This window comes from Homo sapiens, chromosome 17 (genome assembly GCF_000001405.40).
Source record: "Homo sapiens chromosome 17, GRCh38.p14 Primary Assembly".
NCBI classification, from domain to species: Eukaryota; Metazoa; Chordata; class Mammalia; order Primates; family Hominidae; genus Homo; species Homo sapiens.
In genome coordinates this window covers 142,216-159,996 of record NC_000017.11, presented here as the reverse complement: position 1 = coordinate 159,996, position 17,781 = coordinate 142,216, and the positions used below count along the sequence as shown (strand labels likewise).

General features: G+C 54.6%; 1 protein-coding gene across 5 annotated transcripts in view; it reads left to right on the top strand.

Annotated features, from left to right (window-relative positions):
* DOC2B (double C2 domain beta) overlaps window positions 1-17,208 on the top strand; it is a 38,862-nt gene extending 21,654 nt beyond the window's left edge. For 2 of the 5 annotated variants that reach the window (XM_011535363.4, NM_003585.5), the window contains 4 exons: window positions 3,620-3,777; window positions 10,805-10,886; window positions 11,728-11,824; window positions 12,420-17,208. In XM_011535363.4, the coding sequence (XP_011533665.1) occupies window positions 3,620-3,777; window positions 10,805-10,886; window positions 11,728-11,824; window positions 12,420-12,556 (474 nt within the window). In that variant the 3' untranslated portion in view covers window positions 12,557-17,208. Of the gene's footprint in view, window positions 1-3,619; window positions 3,778-6,921; window positions 7,050-8,247; window positions 8,641-9,899; window positions 10,094-10,804; window positions 10,887-11,727; window positions 11,825-12,419 lie in introns of those variants that run through there. The other 3 variants (XR_007065502.1, XR_942190.3, XM_047436938.1) reach the window with 3 other exon arrangements.

Below are 17,781 nucleotides of genomic sequence, written 5' to 3'. Positions count from 1 at the left end.
CAAAAAAAAAAAAAAAAAGCAACACCAGCCCTGCCTTAGTGTTCCTGAGTTTTCATCACTGGCATAAACAAACAACCACGTGGGTATGTACGTGGGGTGTCAGCGTGTGTGTGTGTGTGCTCGTGTGTGAATTGTGTGTAAGAGCATATGTCAGTACGTGTCTGTGTGCGACAGTGTGTGTGTCCACATGTGTGGTGTGCGTTCGTGAAAGCATGTGCGTCCCTGTGCGTGGCCATGATCAGGGCGTTGCTGGATGCGCTACCGGCCCATTGGTGCCGTTCAGGGACTCACAGTGACCGCAGGAGTGCAGCTGGGGATGCACCCCTGACAGTACAGCCACATTCTGGTGGTACTTTTATTATTATTATTTTTTGAGACTGAGTCTTGCTCTGTCATCCAGGCTGGAGTTCAGTGGCAAAATCTCTGTTCACTGCAACCTCTACCTCCTGAGTTCAAACAATTCTCATGCCTCAGCCTCCCGAGTAGCTGGGACTACAGGCGTGTGCCGCCACGCCTGGTTAATTTTTGTATATTTGGTAGAGATGGGGTTTCACCATATTGTCCAGGTGTCTCAAACTCCTGACCTTGAATGATCCACCTGCCTCAGCCTCCCAAAGTGCTGGGATTACAGGTGTGCGCCACCACGCCTGGCTAATTTTGGTATTTTTAGTAGAGACGGGGGTTCGCCATGTTGGCCAGGCAAGTCTCAAACTCCTGACCTCCAGTGATCCTCCTGCCTCGGCCTCCCAAAGTGCTGGGATTACAGGCATGAGCCCCTGTGCCAGGCCTCTGGCGGTAGGTTTTAGAATTTACAGTCTGCGAACATTATCTGTTTTAAGTCAATACTGAGCAAGACCCAGTGGTCTTCATATGAAACAACCCGAAGTACAATGTCCCACCCCTGAAAAAAGAGCTAAAAATATGCCTGCTGGTTGGTTGTTTTTTTTTTTTTTTTATGAGATGGAGTCTATGTCGCCCAGGCTGGAGTGCAGTGGCGCAATGTCGGCTTACTTCAACCTCCGCCTCCCGGGTTCAAGTGATTCTTCTGCCTCAGCCTCCCAATAGCTGGGATTACAGGCATGCGCCACCACACCCGGCTAATTTTTGTATTTTTAGTAGAGATGGGGTTTCACCATGTTGGCCAGGCTGGTCCTGAGCTGCTGACCTCAGGTGATCTGCCCGCCTTGGCCTCCCAAAGTGCTGGGGTTACAGGCATGAGTCACTGTGCCTGGCCCCTGCTAGTTTATATTGTTTAATTTTCACACCACACACACTGACACAAGCAGCACAGGGCATCAAGGCCCTCACACACAAAGCTCTGCCTGAGCGGCAGATAGCGAGATCTCGCAGGCCTGGCCTGATCCACCAGGAATGGCTGCCTGAGCACTGTGTTGAAAAGGATTCTGAGGTGGCATTGGAGCCTAGGGCAAATGCTAGGATCGATTAGCCATGTCTGCTCTGGGCGTGGGAGGTGGCGAAGGTGGCTGGTGGGGCATGTATGTCTTCCCTGCTCAACATCCCTGCTCACCTCACAGGAGTCTCATCTCCAGAAAGGGTTAGATGTAGCCAGAGGGACTCACTTTGGTGTTAGGCAGGGCACGGTTGTGGGCAAAAGGAGGTGGCTGGGGCTGCTTGGGAGAGGAGCCTGGTAGAGTCCTAAGGGGATCCAGGGGGACACAGGGCTCAAGCTGGGCGTGTGTGGGTGGGCTCAAGCTGGGTTTGTCTGGGGGGGCTGAGGGCCTAGGAGAGAGGGTTTGGGGTGTGCAGCAGCCAGAAGGAAGAAGCCGGGTAGTCTCGGGAGGGCAAGGAATGGAGAAGCATCAGGCTGGCTGGGGATGGGGAGGCCTGGAGCTGAGATCTGCCTTGAGAGGCAGGCACTGGCAGCTGCTGAGGCAGGGAAGGCACTGGATGGGCTCCCTACTTGGCTCCCAGCTTCTCCAGGGTGAGGAATGTACCAGAACTCTGTCTTCGGGGTTCTCCTGAGGGAGCCACATCCAGCACCCTGAGAGGCTCCAGGTAGCACCTTCAGGGAACTGGGGCCACGGTGACCCTTTTCCATCCACCAGGCTCCATTGTCATGGGCAGACCTTTCTGCCTTTCTTTGAACCTCCAGGCTGGAGTTGCTTGTATGAGGTTGAACGCACAGGGGACCATCTGTCCCTCCATTCCTGCCTTCACTAGTACAAGCCTCCAGTGGGCCCTTAGTGCCAGGGCCTTGCCCAGCCCTGAGGTATTAAAGATGACGCAGGTATTATCTGGATGCGGTGGCTCATACCTGTAATCCCAGCACTTCAGGAGGCTGAGGTGGGTGGATCACTTGAGGTCAGGAATTCGAGACCAGCCTGGCAGACATGGCAAAACCCTGTCTCTACCAAAAAATAGAAAAATTAGACTGTAGTCCCAGCTACTCAGAAGGCTGAGGCAGGAGAATCGCTTAAACCCGGGAGGCAGAGGTTGTAGTGAGCCAAGATCATGCCACTGCACTCCAGCCTGGGTGACAAGAGTCAGACTCTGTCAAAATCAAAATTTACAGGTAGAGTTCCAACTTCAAGGAACTTAGAGGCTGGGGCAGAGCCCTGAGGAAGCAGGGGGCCACACCAGGCCATGACAGGATAAACCCGAGGCAGTGGGCGCGCAGAGGGGACGGCCAACCCACCCTGAGGGTCAGAAAAGCCCCCCAGGCCCAGAAGGACCAGGAATTTATCAACGGTGAACACTGAGGAGGTCAGAGGAGGGTGCTGGAGCTGTGGATTAAGGGTGCGCAAAGGTGTGGAGGTGGGACCCGGCTTCAAAGCCAAGGGAAAGTCCGGGCGGGCTGTGAGGAGGACCTGGTGGAAGACCGTCCGCGGAAGCCGAGCGCGCCAGGCCGGGGGCTGCAGACCCGTGAAGGGCCGCTTAGCGCTAATGTTAGGCTCTGTGTGCCTCGCAATCTGTGGCCACCATGCAGCTCTGTCCTTAGGGCAAAAGCAGCCATAGAGAAGCATCACGGAGCTGGCAAGGCTGCGTTCCAACAACACGGTGTTAATGGAAGCTGAAGTGTGAATTTCATGTCATTTTCATGTGTCACAAAATATTTTTCATTTCATTTTTCTTTCTGCCATTCCAAAAAGTAAGAACCAGCTGGGCACGGTGGCTCATGTCTGTAATCCCAGCACTTTGGGAGGCCAAGGTGGGAAGATCCCTTGAGCCCAGGAGTTTGAGATCAGCCTGGGCAAAATAGTGAGACCCCTGTCTCTATTTTTTTGAAAAAGAAATTGTTTAAGATAAGGGTAAGAGCCATGCTTAGCTCACATCCCACACAGAGCCAGGCGTCGGGCCTGATCTGGCCCCCGGGCTGCAGTTGCCAACCCCTGGGCTGGCCCTTGCTGGGCTGTGAAGGCCACCGTAGGCCACATGCAGCCAAGAACAGGGAGGGTGTGGGTCAGATCCAGCCCTGGAAGAGCCCTTGGGAGGGAAGAGATGACAGAAGGGCTGTGAGTTCACAGTGAGGCCACTCACCAGGGACCGTGACCAGGCCCGGCTGCAGCAGCCGGATGGGCGGGCTCAGGAAGAGGAGGCCAAGGACGGCCAAGAGAGGGGTGGGAGCAGGTGAGGACTGAGTGACCGTCCCGTCCAACAGGTGGACAAGACTGAAGACAAGTCCCTGGAGGAGCGGGGCCGCATCCTCATCTCCCTCAAGTACAGCTCACAGAAGCAAGGCCTGCTGGTAGGCATCGTGCGGTGCGCCCACCTGGCCGCCATGGACGCCAACGGCTACTCGGACCCCTACGTGAAAACGTGAGTGTGCCGTGCGCGTGACCACCTGCCACGTCTTCACCTCCAAGGACGGGGGTCCGTGTGCCGGCTCCGTGGTCCCAGGTGGCAGGCACCCAGGGAGTGCCTGAGGTACAGGGGCGCTGTGTTCCCTGATGGGCTACCTTGGCAACTCCAGGGGTTAAGCATGGCCAGCCCATTTCACAGATGGGGAAACTGAGGGACAGAGAAGCTGAGTGGCTTCCCAGGGTCATGCAGGTATTAGTTATCACCTGATGCTATGTCCAGGCCTCTCTGTGACTGAGGGGCCCAGGAGGGGCCATGAGTTGCAGGAGGGGACAGAAGGCGGGGCCAGTGCCGGGGGTAGCCAGGAGGCTGGGGGAGGATGCAGAGGAACTCTGCCAGGCCTTTGCAACTGCCCACATTTGCCCAGCCCTATAATGGTGCTACAGATGCGGATAAGAGTCCACCCAGCTCTACCAACAGGGCTGATGGTGGGCCTGGGGAGAGACACTAACTCAGGGGGCCATGCCAGGTGGCCTGGGCCGCAGAGCTGTGGAGCTGTGAGCCTGGTCAGGAGAGGCTGTGTAGCTCTGAGAGCCAGGCAGGAGCTGGCGACCCTTTGGAGAGGGTGCTACAGGTGCCACAGTGACTACCGTCAGTGCTCGGGGCTCTTCAGAAACTAGGTAGGTATGAGTGTGAGCTCACAGGGAGACTCTGGAAAACTGAGACTTGGGGAGGAATTTAGTTCAGCAGAAAGGAGGGGCAGGTGCTTCAGGGAGGGGGAATGACAGAGGGATGGCCCTGACCTAGGGGACACCAAGGACCCAGGTGACTAAGGCCTCAGGGACATCTTGGCACCATGAAGAGGCCAGTACTCCTCGTGGCACAGCTCTAGGGGCACCATTCCCATGGCCATGATCATATTTCTGTCACTTTAAAAATTGTATGTGGCAGGTGCAGTGAGTTACACTTACATTCTGAACACTTTGGGAGGCCAAGGCAGGAGGATTGCTTGAGGCTAGGAGTTTGAGACCATCCTGGGCAACATAGTGAGACCTCCATCTCTATAAAAAAATTAAAAATTAGCCTGGTGTAGTGGCATGTCCCTGTAGTCCTAACTACTTGAGAGGATTGCTTGAACCCAGGAATTTGAGACCAGCCTTGGCAACATACTGAGACCTTGTCTCTACAGTTAAAAATAGTAATAAATTAGGCTGAGTGCAGTGGCTCGTGCTTGTAATCCCAGTACTTTGGGAGGCCGAGGCGCACGGATCACCTGAGGTCAGGAGTTTGAGACCAGCTTGGCCAATATGGGGAAACCCGTCTCTACTAAAAATAAAAAAATTAGCTGGGTGTGGTGGCGGGCGCCTGTAATCGCAGCTACTTGGGAGGCTGAGGCAGGAAAATCACTTCAACCTGGGAGGTGGAGATTGCAGTGAGCCGAGATCACACCACTGCACTCCAGCCAGGGTGACAGAGCGAGACACTCTCAAAATATAATAAACAAATAAAAATAATATGAGAATAATGGGATGGCCACTTTGGGAAGCAGCTGATAGTTCCTCAGAAAGTTAAACACAGAATCACCATTTGATCTGGCAATTCCACTCCTTGTTATATACCCAAGAGATAAGAAAAACATGTCCATCCTAAAACTTGTGCAGGAATGTTCATAGCAGCACTATCCACAACAGCCAAAAGTGGAAACACCCCAAGTGTCCATCCACTGATGAATGGATACACAAATGAAGTCTGTCCCTGCAGTGGAATATCAGCCCTAAGAAGGAGTGTAGCAGGTGCGTGGAATATCAGTCATAAGAAGGAGTGTAGCAGGTGCGTGGAATATCAGCCCTAAGAAGGAGTGTAGCAGGTGCGTGGAATATCAGCCCTAAGAAGGAGTGTAGCAGGTGCGTGGAATATCAGCCCTAAGAAGGAGTGTAGCAGGTGCGTGGAATATCAGCCCTAAGAAGGAGTGTAGCGGGTGCGTGGAATATCAGCCCTAAGAAGGAGTGTAGCGGGTGTGTGGAATATCAGCCCTAAGAAGGAGTGTAGCAGGTGCGTGGAATATCAGCCATAAGAAGGAGTGTAGCAGGTGCGTGGAATATCAGCCCTAAGAAGGAGTGTAGCAGGTGCATGCTACACTGTGGGAGGACCTTGGAAACAAGATGCTAAGCGAGAGAAGCCAGACACAGACGGCCACGTGTTGCAGGACTCTATTTCTATGACGTGTCCAGAATAGGTCAACCCACAGAGGCAGAGAGTAGATTTGTGGTTGCAGGAGCCAGGGGAAGCTTGAGGGGACATGGGCAGTGTGTAGAATGTGGTACTATGAAGTTAAAAATGAATAAATTTGAACTAGAGGAATTATTATAACACGGACAGCTGTCGAAAACACAACAAACGACACACACAGTAGGATACTGGTTTGCGTATATATATGTTTTTTCTTCTGATTTGTCATTGACTTGAATTTCACGCGTATATATCCTTGCAGGAGGATATGCAATCTGAAGCCAAAATGGTGTGATTTTTTTTTTTTTGAGACAGAGTCTTACTCTGTTGCCCAGGCTGGAGTGCAGTGGCGTGATCTCAGCTCACTGCAACGTCTGCCTCCCAGGTTCAAGCAGTTCTCATCCCTCAGCTTCCCAAGTAGCTGGGATTACAGGCATGCGCCACCACGCCAGGCTAATTTTTGTATTTTTAGTAGACGGGGTTTCACCATGTTGGCCAGGCTGGTCTTGAACTCCTGACCTCAAGTGATCCACCCACCCTGGCCTCCCAAAGGGCTGGGATTACAGGCGTGAGCCACTGTGCCCGGCCTATGGTGTGACATTTTTAAACCAGTTTCAATGCCCACCTGCCAGATGGACAGGAATTCCAGGGTCACCTGCTGGGTTGCCCAGAAAGCAGAGTCTTACCTGCTGTGACAGATGGTCTGGTCAACTTCCACAGGCAGGCGGGGGGCCATCTGGGCAGGGCCTGTCCACTGTACCACAAGCTCCTCCCTGCCACAGGTGGCTGCTGTGGGTGCTGCTGGACCCCTGCAGCTGGGTCCCACCTGCCAGCCGTGGGCCAGGTCACGTGGCCTTTCAAAGACAGGCCGAGCTGTGGGCCACTCCCTGTATCTGAGCCACGCCTCACCCGAGACCTCCACATCTGTTTCAGACACCCTGGGTGAGACACGACGGCTGCTGCTCGGGGCTCCTCAGGGGTCCCCGTCTCTGAAAGGCCCCTTCATGGACCAGGGGCCTCTTCCTCACTAAAGCAGAGGAAATAAGGGCACAGATTAGATGGTAAGAGGGGCACCCCTCAGCTGCATCCTAGACCTGGAAGAGAGTGTGACCTGTGCCCCAGAAGAAAGGGAGGGACGTATCTAGCGGTTGATGCTGAGGGCCAAAGCTAGATGGGTCAAGGCCTTTTGTCTGCACTATTATTTTTATTTGTTTTCTTTATTTCTTCCTTTCTTTTTTGAGACAGTGACTCACTCTGTCACCGGGCTGGAATGCAGTGATGCGATCACAGCTCACAGCAGCCTCAAACTCCTGGGCTCAAGCAGTCCTTCCCCCTCAGCCTCCTGAGTAGCTGGGACTACAGGTGTGCACCACCACGCCTGGCTAGTTGTTTTTTGTATTTTTTGTAGAGACTGGGTTTTGCCGTATTGGCCAGGCTGGTCTCAAACTGCTGGACTCAAACGATCCTCCTAGCTCGGCCTCCCAAAGTGCTGGGATTACAGGTGCAAGCCACCATGCCCAGCTAGCACCATTATTTTTATAAAGCTCATCTCTGGTGATACTTGCCCCAGTTTCCCCAGGCCGGAAGTTGACCCCAGGCCCAGCTCTTGAGGGTTTGATGGAAAACCCCAGGAGTAGCAGTGCCTGTGACAATCGCTGACATGTCGAGTTACACGTAATATCCCTGAGCTGCGCGATGGCTGCGTGTGACGCGCTCAGCAGCCTGTGCGGTCGCTCCTGTTGTTATCTCCATTTCATGCCCGTGAAAATGGCAGTAACTGGCAGCAACGTGCTGTGCCACCCTGGGCAACTCCCTTCTCTGGCTGTCTTATGTATAACCAGAAGGGGTTTCTTCTCAAAGCCACAGGCAAGCAGAAGGCACTGTGCAGAGGGCTCAGAGGTACACGGCACAGGGCGGCTCCGTGAGCCCCGGTGGCCAGGACCACTGTCCTGACAGCAAGGGAGGGAGAGACGCCACAGGGCGGGCCTCAGGGGCTTTGCAGGGTGGGCTTGTGCCAGAGTAGGGTATGCTCAGGGAGGGTGCTGAGGGATTTCCCCAGAGTGGTCAGGTGAGGAGGGAAGGGCACTTCTGGTAGAGAAAACAGCAGAACAGAGGGCAACGCTGGCGGAACTGTCCATGGCTGAAGGTGCCGAGGCTGGAGCCTGTCGTGGAAGTCTGGTGGCTGAGTGAGGGGTCACCAGATGGGCACAAGTTGTCCAGGCTGAGGGTGCAGAGATCCCAAAACAACTTTCCTTCCAGGGGCTTGTGAAGGCAGGGCACGCAGGACCCTTCTGTCCCTGCTCCTCACCCGTCACCAAACAGGCCAAGGACAGTTCACAGCAGACACAATATACCAATACCTAGAGAAATGGCCAAGGAGCATAGTAAGTAACTAAGGAAATCCGCTGTCTCCGGGTGGCGGGCTTAGGGGAATCCCCCCAAACTTTTTTAAAATCAGGTTTATTGAGGTACAGGTTGAGCGTCCCAAAGCTGTAAATCCAAAACCCCAAACATTCCAAGCACCGACATGACGCTCAAAGGGAATGCTTATTGGCGCGTTTGGGATTTCAGATTTTTGAATTTTTGAGTTAGGGATGCTGAACTGGTAAATATACTGCAAAGATTACAAAATATGAAAAAATCCAAAATTCAAAACATCTGGTCCAAGCATTTCAGATAATGGATCCTCAACCTGTATCATTCATATCCAGTGAGTTTTTCTTTTCTTTTCTTTTTTTAGAGACAGGGTTTTGCTCTGTTGTCCAGGCCAAAGTGCAGTGGCGCAATCATAGCTCATTGCAGCCTTGAACTCCTGGGCTCAAGCATCTTCCCACCTCAGCACTGTGAATAGCTGGGACTACAGGCATGCACCACCATGCCCAGCTAATTTTTAATTTTTTGGTAGAGATGGGGTCTCGCTGTATCACCCAGGCTGGGACAGTCTTGTTTCCACCACCAGAATCAACACAGAGAATATGACCCCAGAAAGTTCCCTGGCCCCAGGCAACCACTCACCTGTTTTCTGTCTCAATGGTGTTGCCGTTTCCAGACTTTCCCATGAAACAGTCAGATAGTGTGTTGCCCTGTGAGTCCGGCTTCTTTCACACGGAGGAATGCGTTTGAGATTCATCTGTCAGTTGCATGTACCAGGAGTTTGGTCCTTTTTGTTGCTAAGTGGTCTTCCATTGTGTGGGTAAACCACAAGTTTGTTGTTGATGAGTTCCCCAGTTGAAGGGCGTGTGGTTGTTTGCAATTTTTGGTGATGGTAGAAAGCTGCAATGAACAGGTTTTTGTGTGGACATATGTCTTCATTTCTCTCTCCTAATCCCAACTTTTGTCCACATGCATTTTCTAGTGCTTCTGTAATAAACCAGTATTATTTATGCCATGAAAGTCACAATTTTAAAATATGCAAAGTAAAGCAACTATGAGATATCATTTTCTGCCTCTCAAACCAGCAAGGAGTTTTTAAATGATAGCATTCAGCTTTGTCGCAGGCACTGTGTGTCAACCATGCAGCCTTTCTGGAGAGGAACTGGGCAGAATAAGCTGGACATGGGCGTGTCTTTGGGCGGTGCCTTCACTTCTAGGGATGCAGGTTAAGCTGGACATGGGCGTGTCTTTGGGCGGTGGCTTCACTTCTAGGGATGCAGGTATTCGCTGGACAGATGTTTGTTAAGCTCCCTGGTGCCAGGCCCAGGGAGTTGGTCGTGGGTGAGACCCCAGAGACCCCAGAGCACATTCAGCAGGGACAAGGCAATTGTCATGCAATTATCTATGCAGGAACAGGGTGAGAAGCTTTGCAAAGAAGTTGGGGACCTCTTGTCCCCTTCTCCAGCCTGCACATGACCTCCCTGTCATAGAGAAAGGAGTCTGAGCCTGGCTTTCAAGCACCACGCTTGTGCTTGCAGGCTGTGTGACCTTGGGCAAGTCACTCCCCCTCTCTGAGCCTCAGAGGAAGACAGCTGTTCTGCATCAGAGCCTAAGGCCTTAGTGGCTGTGGAGGGAAGAACATCTAGGTGGCCTCCGTGTGACTGCACAAAAGGTCTTGTCCTTCCTCAAAGCTCCAATGGAGGTAGTGGTGATGGATGTACAACTCTGGGAGTCTACTAAAGGCTACTGCGTTTTACACTTCAGAAGGATGGATTTTATGGTATGTGAATTATATCTCAATAAATCTGCTATTTTATAAAAGAAGCTTGAGGCCGGGGGTGGTGGCTCACGCCTGTAATCCCAGCACTTTGGGAGGCCGAGGCAGGTGGATCACCTGAGGTCAGGAGCTAGAGACCAGCCTGGCCAACATGGTGAAACCCTGTCTCTACTGAAAATACAAAAATTACCTGCGCATGGCGGCACATGCCTGTAGTCCCAGCTACTCTGGAGGCTGAGGCAGGAGAATCACTTGAACCCGGGAGGCAGAGGTTGCAGTCAGCCATCTGAAAAAAAAAAAGAAGTTTGAACAAGAGACCAACTCTGCTAAAAACTCTGTTCTGGTGGGAAATGTGAGCTTTATGAAAATTAGACTTCCAGAAATGAGGAAAAACCCCTTTCCTAGGGGGATGGAGGGCGCCCCCCAGGGTTAACTTCAGGAATGTGTGTGTGAACAGAAGTGCGGTGGATGAAGGGACCACTTGCTTCTCGAAAACAACGTCTCGCCTTTGCCACAAAATAGCGTTGGGAAAATCCAATGATTAGGACAAAAGAAGGGCCCAGGAATCTCTCTCCAGGGACAGAAAGCTCTTTGAATACCTGCTGGCTTGATCTATACCCCATAGCATGTCCCCATCCTCTGCCTGTCCGTTGGATGTAATTCCAGATACCTGAGGCCAGATGTGGACAAGAAATCCAAACATAAGACAGCGGTGAAGAAAAAAACCCTGAACCCGGAGTTTAATGAGGTATGAGGGGCTGGTGAAGCTTCATGAAGGCCATTCCTCTGCCCCACAGCAGTGGGGGTGTGGCTGGGTTTTCAAAAGGTCATGGCGGGATGGGGAGGGTGGTCAGAGACGGTGGGGAGGGGCCGCACCAAGCCACAGACACAGGGGAGCTGGGGGACCCCTGGAAAGCTCTTGGCAGGACTTGTCGGATGTAGGGCTGGGGGGAGGGAAGTGTTGAGGGGAGTCCTCGGTTCCTCATGGAGGCAACAGGGCAAAGAGGGGGTGAGGAAGATGGGGAGAAACTCTGTGTGGGGCAAGGGGACTCGAGACACCCTGGGGCCCCAGGAAGTCTTCCGCCCAAGGCGGCAAGTACGGCTGGAAATGCGGATTCCCCCCAAGGAACAAGAAGGAAAGAAGAGCAGAGGGGCCTTGGGTAGAGCCCACACCACACCAGTGATCCAGAGGCAGGCAGGGGAGGTCAAGATGCTTCCAGAGAGTGAGGGGAACCCCGGATGGAAGGGAGGGTCCCACAGAGAAGGGAGGGGTCAGCAAAGCCAGGCCCCAGAGAGGCCCAGGATGACAAGGACTGTGGGGCGTGCAGTGCCTCTGCAGTCAGGAGGCTCCCGGGGTGTGGGGAGAGCAGGCTCAGGGACAAGGAGCAAGCGGGCGAGGGGACAGGGGCCCTGAAGACCCCAGTGGAGCTCAGGGGGAAGTGGGCGAGACATGTGAGCATCCACCCATCATCCACTCTGAGCACTGATCACCCCCATCCCTCCTCTGTCCCTACACCTCATACCCCTCCTGGCCCCCGGCGGAGGCCCAGGCCCAGGCATCAGCCCTAACACTCCCTTCTTGCCAGCAGGAGTTCTGTTACGAGATCAAGCATGGGGACCTGGCCAAGAAGTCCCTGGAGGTCACCGTTTGGGATTACGACATTGGAAAATCCAACGATTTCATTGGTAAGGGGGCATAGTGGGAACACCGTCTCACTGTGTGCCTGTCCTGGATCAGGCCACAGCCCCTCTTTCCTGGTCCATGGGGAAAGCTGGAGCCACGGACCACCTGCCCCTAGGTCAGGGGCCTCAGACCTTCTCCAGCCTGACCCTTGTGCCCCAGGAAGAGACAGGCCCAGGGATGGAAGGAGTTCTGGGAGGGTCACACAGCACTCTGTGGTGGAGCACAGACAAGAGACAATGATGGGCAGTGCCTCGGGCTGGACTCTGAGCCCTAGAGGCCCCAAATTCCCAGTGGGCCTGGTGGCTGCGCATAGTGGGGCTGCCCGGCCCTTTCTCCCCTCTTCAGGCCCCCATTCCTTGACCCCTGATGCTGCCTCTGCACCCTGCCCCTATCCCTGCCCTGGTGGAAGAGAGACAGGATGGCTGGGCCCTGACGGGGCCAGAGTGTGGCATGGAGGTCAGGTCCTGTTCATGCTCAGAACCCAGCGGGCAGTGGGAGAGGCTGGCCTTCGAGCACAGAACCTGGGAGGGGGCATGGGCCCCACGCCTGGGAGTTGGGGGTCCCTGTGCCCCAGCTGCCCCTCCTGTCCTCCTGCAGGTGGTGTGGTTCTGGGCATCCACGCCAAGGGGGAGCGCCTGAAGCACTGGTTTGACTGCCTGAAGAACAAGGACAAGCGCATCGAGCGCTGGCACACGCTCACCAGCGAGCTCCCAGGGGCTGTGCTCAGCGACTGACGCCCACCCGCCACTGCTACCCCTGCCGCCACCTGCGCCCAGCACGGCCGGCCCCGGGCTTCCCCAGCAGCCACCAAGGCCTGTGGCCCCCACACTGGGGGAGATCCAGAACCCCTGCTTGGACACAGAGCCACTGCAGTCCCCGCTCGGAGGATGTGGAGGGCTCAGCCACTCTGGGACGGGGAGGGCAAGGAGCTGGGGTGGGGGGCTCTCAGCTCTCTGGGGCCCAAGAGGCCGGTGGTGGAAAGAGACCTCAGCACCTGCCCAGGGGAAGGGGACACGCCCATCTGGGAGCAAAGACCCTTCTAGAGGCCAGCCCCGGCTGAGAGGACAGGAGTGTGGGGGCGCCTTGGCGGACAGTGGGAACAGAGGAGGGAGGTGGTGAGCAGACAGACAGGTGGAGGATGGGACCTTGAAGACTGGCTGCTCCAGCCCAAGAAAGCCTAACTGCATCCCTCATCTCCTTCGCTGCTGGACAGATGGAAGAAGCGGGCCTGCCGGCCGAAAGTCTGCCAGAGTTCCCGGAGGCTCCTGATGATGGGTAAATTGGCACATGCTTCACTCAATGATTCCACAAGCCCTGGGGGTGAATGAGACACAGGGCCTGCCCTCAGGGAGTTCCCATCTAGTCAGGAAGCTGGGAACAAACCATTCCAACTGGGGTGAGAAATACCAAGACCAGCTTGGCCAGTCTGCAAGTACCGTGGGCTCTGCTGACTCTGCCGGGAGGTCAGGGACGGCTTCCTGGAGGAGGCGGTGCTTCCGTAAGGCCTTGGAGGGTGAGTGAGGGCTTCTAAAAGCAGTCCAGGCAGTGGGAGTGGTCTAAAACGCCTGGAGAGAGAAAGCCAATGGGGCCGGGGTGCTGTGGACCCAGGGTCTCCTCTCCAGGGGAGGGTTTGTTAGGAAGGTGTGAGGCTCGAGGCAGGAGGTGGGGGACGTGATGGAAACACCATGGAGAAACTGGTGTAGGCTCAAGTTCAGACCTCAGACCCAAGTCTCCCACTCTGATCTCTTTCTACTCCTGAGGGACCTCAAGGACGGAGCCCGCCCCTCCTCCTTCCTGGCATAAGCATCAGGTCAGCTGCAGTGGAGAAAAGGGTCCCTTGTGCTTGGGAAAAAAAGCAAGCATTCCTACACGTCCTGACTCTGCCCTTTCCCCTCCCCTCCACTCCATGGCTCACACTGGGGGCCTCCGGGTGCTTGCTCGTGGCATCTTGGTCCCACTACCGCCACAGATGTCCCTTTTGGGAGTAATCAGTGGCCGTCCAGGGCCTTGTCTCTGGGGAGGCCTGTGGGGCCAGCTCCACCCTCCAGGAGCTGAGCAAGAATCACCCTGGCTGGTGGGCCTGTCTGCTCCCCTGAGTGAGACTCCCCAGGAGGCTTGAGAGTATCTGAATCTTGGGGCCCATGCCTGAAGCCCACAAACTTTCTCTGCCTACCAAGGGCCCCTCAGGAACGCTGGGTGAACAAATGCAGAGCCAAGGAGTTGCACAGCCAGAGTCCCAGTGTGCTCAGCCCATCAGTGTGTGATGGAAACAGGCCCAGAGAGGTCAGGTGACCTGCCCAGGGCCTTCCAGGCCCCACACAGCTGGAACCAGGATCCACAGCCCCCAGCCCAGAGTGCTGGACACCACGCTTCAGGGGAATTGGCGTGCTGAGCTCACACCAGAGAGGTCCTGCTAGCTGCCAGCCTGGGGCTCCCCCGCCTGCTGCCCACCCCTTCAACACCGATAGAGGGACTCACAGGCACGACGGTGGGACCTTCCACTGCAGACACAAAGCACACCACCACCTGAGGTCCAGGGTTATGATTTGAATCCTACCAAGTGCCCATCAGGCCTTTCCCAGGTTGCGGGGAAAACAGGACCCCAGCCCCCACACAGTCCCTGGCCACCTGCTGCTCCTGGAGACTTGTCTCCCTGCCTTTAGGAAGGGTTTTTGTGTGAAGGTTTTTGCATGCACTGGTCTGAACGCATGTTCACAGCCCTGCAAGGTGGGTTTGATTCTCATCCCCATCTTGCAGGTGAAACAGGTTCCCAGAGTCTGAGTAGTTTGCCAAGGCCACACAGCCAGGAAGGGGTGAACCAGGACTCAAACCCAGGTCCTCTGACTGCCGCTTTCTCTCTCTGGGGGTCGGTACCCCCAGTCCCTTCCCTCTTGGTCTGTCGGAGACTCAGCAGAGACACCAGGTGAAGGCTCAGTAAGCTCAGGTGCATGATGGAGACCTGGGGTCTTGTCACTGTCCTGCCACCTCATCCGCTGGCTTTGAAACCATCCGTGCTACTTCAGGCTTCCCCAGAGGTGTCTAACCTGGCCCCAAAACTCAGCCACCCCACCCTAGCCTCTGGGGGCTGAGGCAAGGGCTCCTCTTTTCTCCACACAGAATGGGCACCCTCTGGGGGCCTAAGGTAAGAGGTGGTCTATTTCTAAAAGGCCTGGTGTCTAGTTAAGCTCTGGGTATCTTCTTAGCTTTGCTTTTTTGGGGGTCTCATTCAGAGAGGAGATTTGACAGCCTCTCTGAAGACACAGAAGTGAATGGCAAAGCGAGAAGAGGCTGTACCCCCCACCTACCATGACTTCCTTATTAGGCACATGGGGAATGTGAGGCCCAGTGGGTGAAAGGGGCCTGAAGGGGCACAGCTGGGACAAGAACCCAGAACTCCAGCCCCCCAGTCCAGGGCCCTCTACTGCCCAGGCTGTGCAAATGGGGCTGGGACCGAAAGATGGGGACAGTCAGGCTGGGAGGCGGGCTTACTGGCCAGCCAGCCCAGGGGCAGCACAGGCACTCGGGCAGGAACTCCCCAGGAAGTTTGGATCCTTCCTTCCCTAGGATCTCAGCACCCTTTTAGATCCCGTGCAGATTGTCTTTCTGTTAAAGCGTTTTGAGGCACGATGGCTCACGCCTGTAATTGCAGCACTTTGGGAGGCCGAGGCTGGCGGATCACCTGAGGTCAGGAGTTCGAAACCCGCCTGGCCAACAGGGCGAAACCCCATCTCTACTAAAAATACAAAAATTAGCCGGGTGTGGTGGCGCACGCCTGTAGTCCCAGCTACTCAGGGAGGCTGAGGCACGAGAATCGCTTGAACCCGGGAGGTGAAGGCTGCAGTGAGCCAAGATCGCGGCACTGCACTCCAGCCTGGGCGACAGAGCAAGACTCCGTCTCAGAAAAAAAACAAACAAACAACGCTTTGAGAAGCTGCAGAAGCGGCTCTGCCTTTGACCCCGAATGGGCATCTTTACTCGGGTCCATCATCCCCACAAAGACAGGAAATCTGATGCCAAAAAAAAAAAGTCATTCCAGGTGTCAGTAACCAGGCGCTGCCTCCAGCGCCGCCCCGCCCGCCGCCCCGCCCGCCGCCCCGCCCGCCGCCTGCGCCAATCCCCGACGGGCCCGTCTTCCAGCCCCGAAGCGGTCACCTCCTGACCTCTAGTGGCGAGCGCGGGGAACTGCGCCCCGGCCCGTCCGCCCGCCGAGCCCGGGCCGTGCATGCCGAGCCCGTTGTTCCTTCGCAAACCGAGTGAACCTCCCGATGCATGGACTCTGGCTGTCGTCGACGCAGACTCTCGTGCACTGCTTAACCCCGTTTTGCTGCCATGTGACGGCTGCAGACACTGTCCTCAAACTGCAGTCCCACAGACAAGTTTTGTATTTTGGTCTGACCTACCCGAAGGTGTCCTTTTTAAGTCTTATTTGTTAATATTTATAATGACATATAATCCAAAGTAAATGGAAACGTCATATTGCGATCTCATTGCCTTGGCGAGACTCTCACCTTTTAATAGATTTGAAGGGGTGGGGGCGGTGGCTCACGCCTGTAAGTCCTAGCACTTTTGGAGGTCGAGGTGGGAGAATTGCTTGAGGCCTGGAGTTCGAGACCAGCCTGGTCAACATGGAGAAACCACGCCTCTACACACACAGAGACACACACAATGACAATTAGCCTAGCGTGGTGGCACACACCTGTAGCCCCAGCTTTTCAGGAGGCTGAGGTAGGAGGAGGAGGATCGCTTGAGCCTGGAAAGTGGGGATTGCAGTGAGCCGAGATCACGCCACCGCACTCCAGCCTGGGCAACAGAGGGAGACCTTGTCAAAAAAAAAAAAAAAAGATTTGGAAGGGTAGGAGGGGAGGGTGGAAAGACGGAGGAAAAGGCAACTGAAACCTACTCCGGATATAGTCTTGTTACTCTTCACCAGGGACCCATTTGAGGTAGGCCCTCAAGTTACAGATGGGGAAACTAAGGCCCAGAGAGGTTAAAATACTTTTACAGAATCACACGGCTGGTCGATGGCAGAAGCAGGATTCAAACTGAGGCAGCCCAAGACATTTTGCACCAGGACCTGTCGACCATGCTGTTGTCCACTCATCCAACAAACAGCCGTGGAGTATTGACTAACGCCAGCCCGTCTGAGGCTCCAAGAGTCTTACGTTTTGGAAGGTAATTTAAGACATGTACTGCTTAGGTTTGGAGGGAAAAAAATAAACCTTCCTAACCACAGATTAGTGTATTAGGACTAGTAGCAATCCCCACACTTTATATTTTCATTCCACCTTGTTAGAAAATGTTGATCAATTGTTGAATACAGTTTATTGTACATCATTCTTTAGGTCAGAAATTTCTCGAGATAAAAGCCTTTGCTTTCTAACATCGACTAACGAAGAAAATGTATGTCATTGAATATGCAAACCTCTCAATCTCTTTCCTCTATGTCCCCCTTCAGGGTCAGGGTCAGGGTTTAGGGTCGGGGTTAGGGTCTAGGATCAGGATTAGGGGTTAGGGGTTAGGGTTCAGGCTTGGGTTCGTACTAGGTCCAGGTCCAGGTCCGGGTCAGCGTTTCGCATTTAGTCAGGGTTGGGTGTTCGGTTTTGGCCGGGTTAGGGTGGGTTAGGACTCGGGTCATAGTTTTGGGTTGGTGCGGTCGGCATCCATGCTGGAATTTCCTTTCCGGCTGTCACCGTGACCGTAACCTGAATTCTGGTTCCACTGCTCTCCCCTGTCTAGTTATCAGGGCTCTTTTCACCGCTGGCTCCATTCATTGCTCGCTCCTCCTGCTTATCTCTCCTGTCCAATCTGCAGAGCTCGCCACCTTCTTGTTCCGCCCTCTTTTCCCTAACATCCAATAGCAGCCTTCTCCGCAGTCCTTGCTCCTACCACTCCTGTCTCTTGCCCAATCAGCAGGCTTTACCAATGCTTACTCCGCCCACTTCTCTCTCTTGTCCAATTG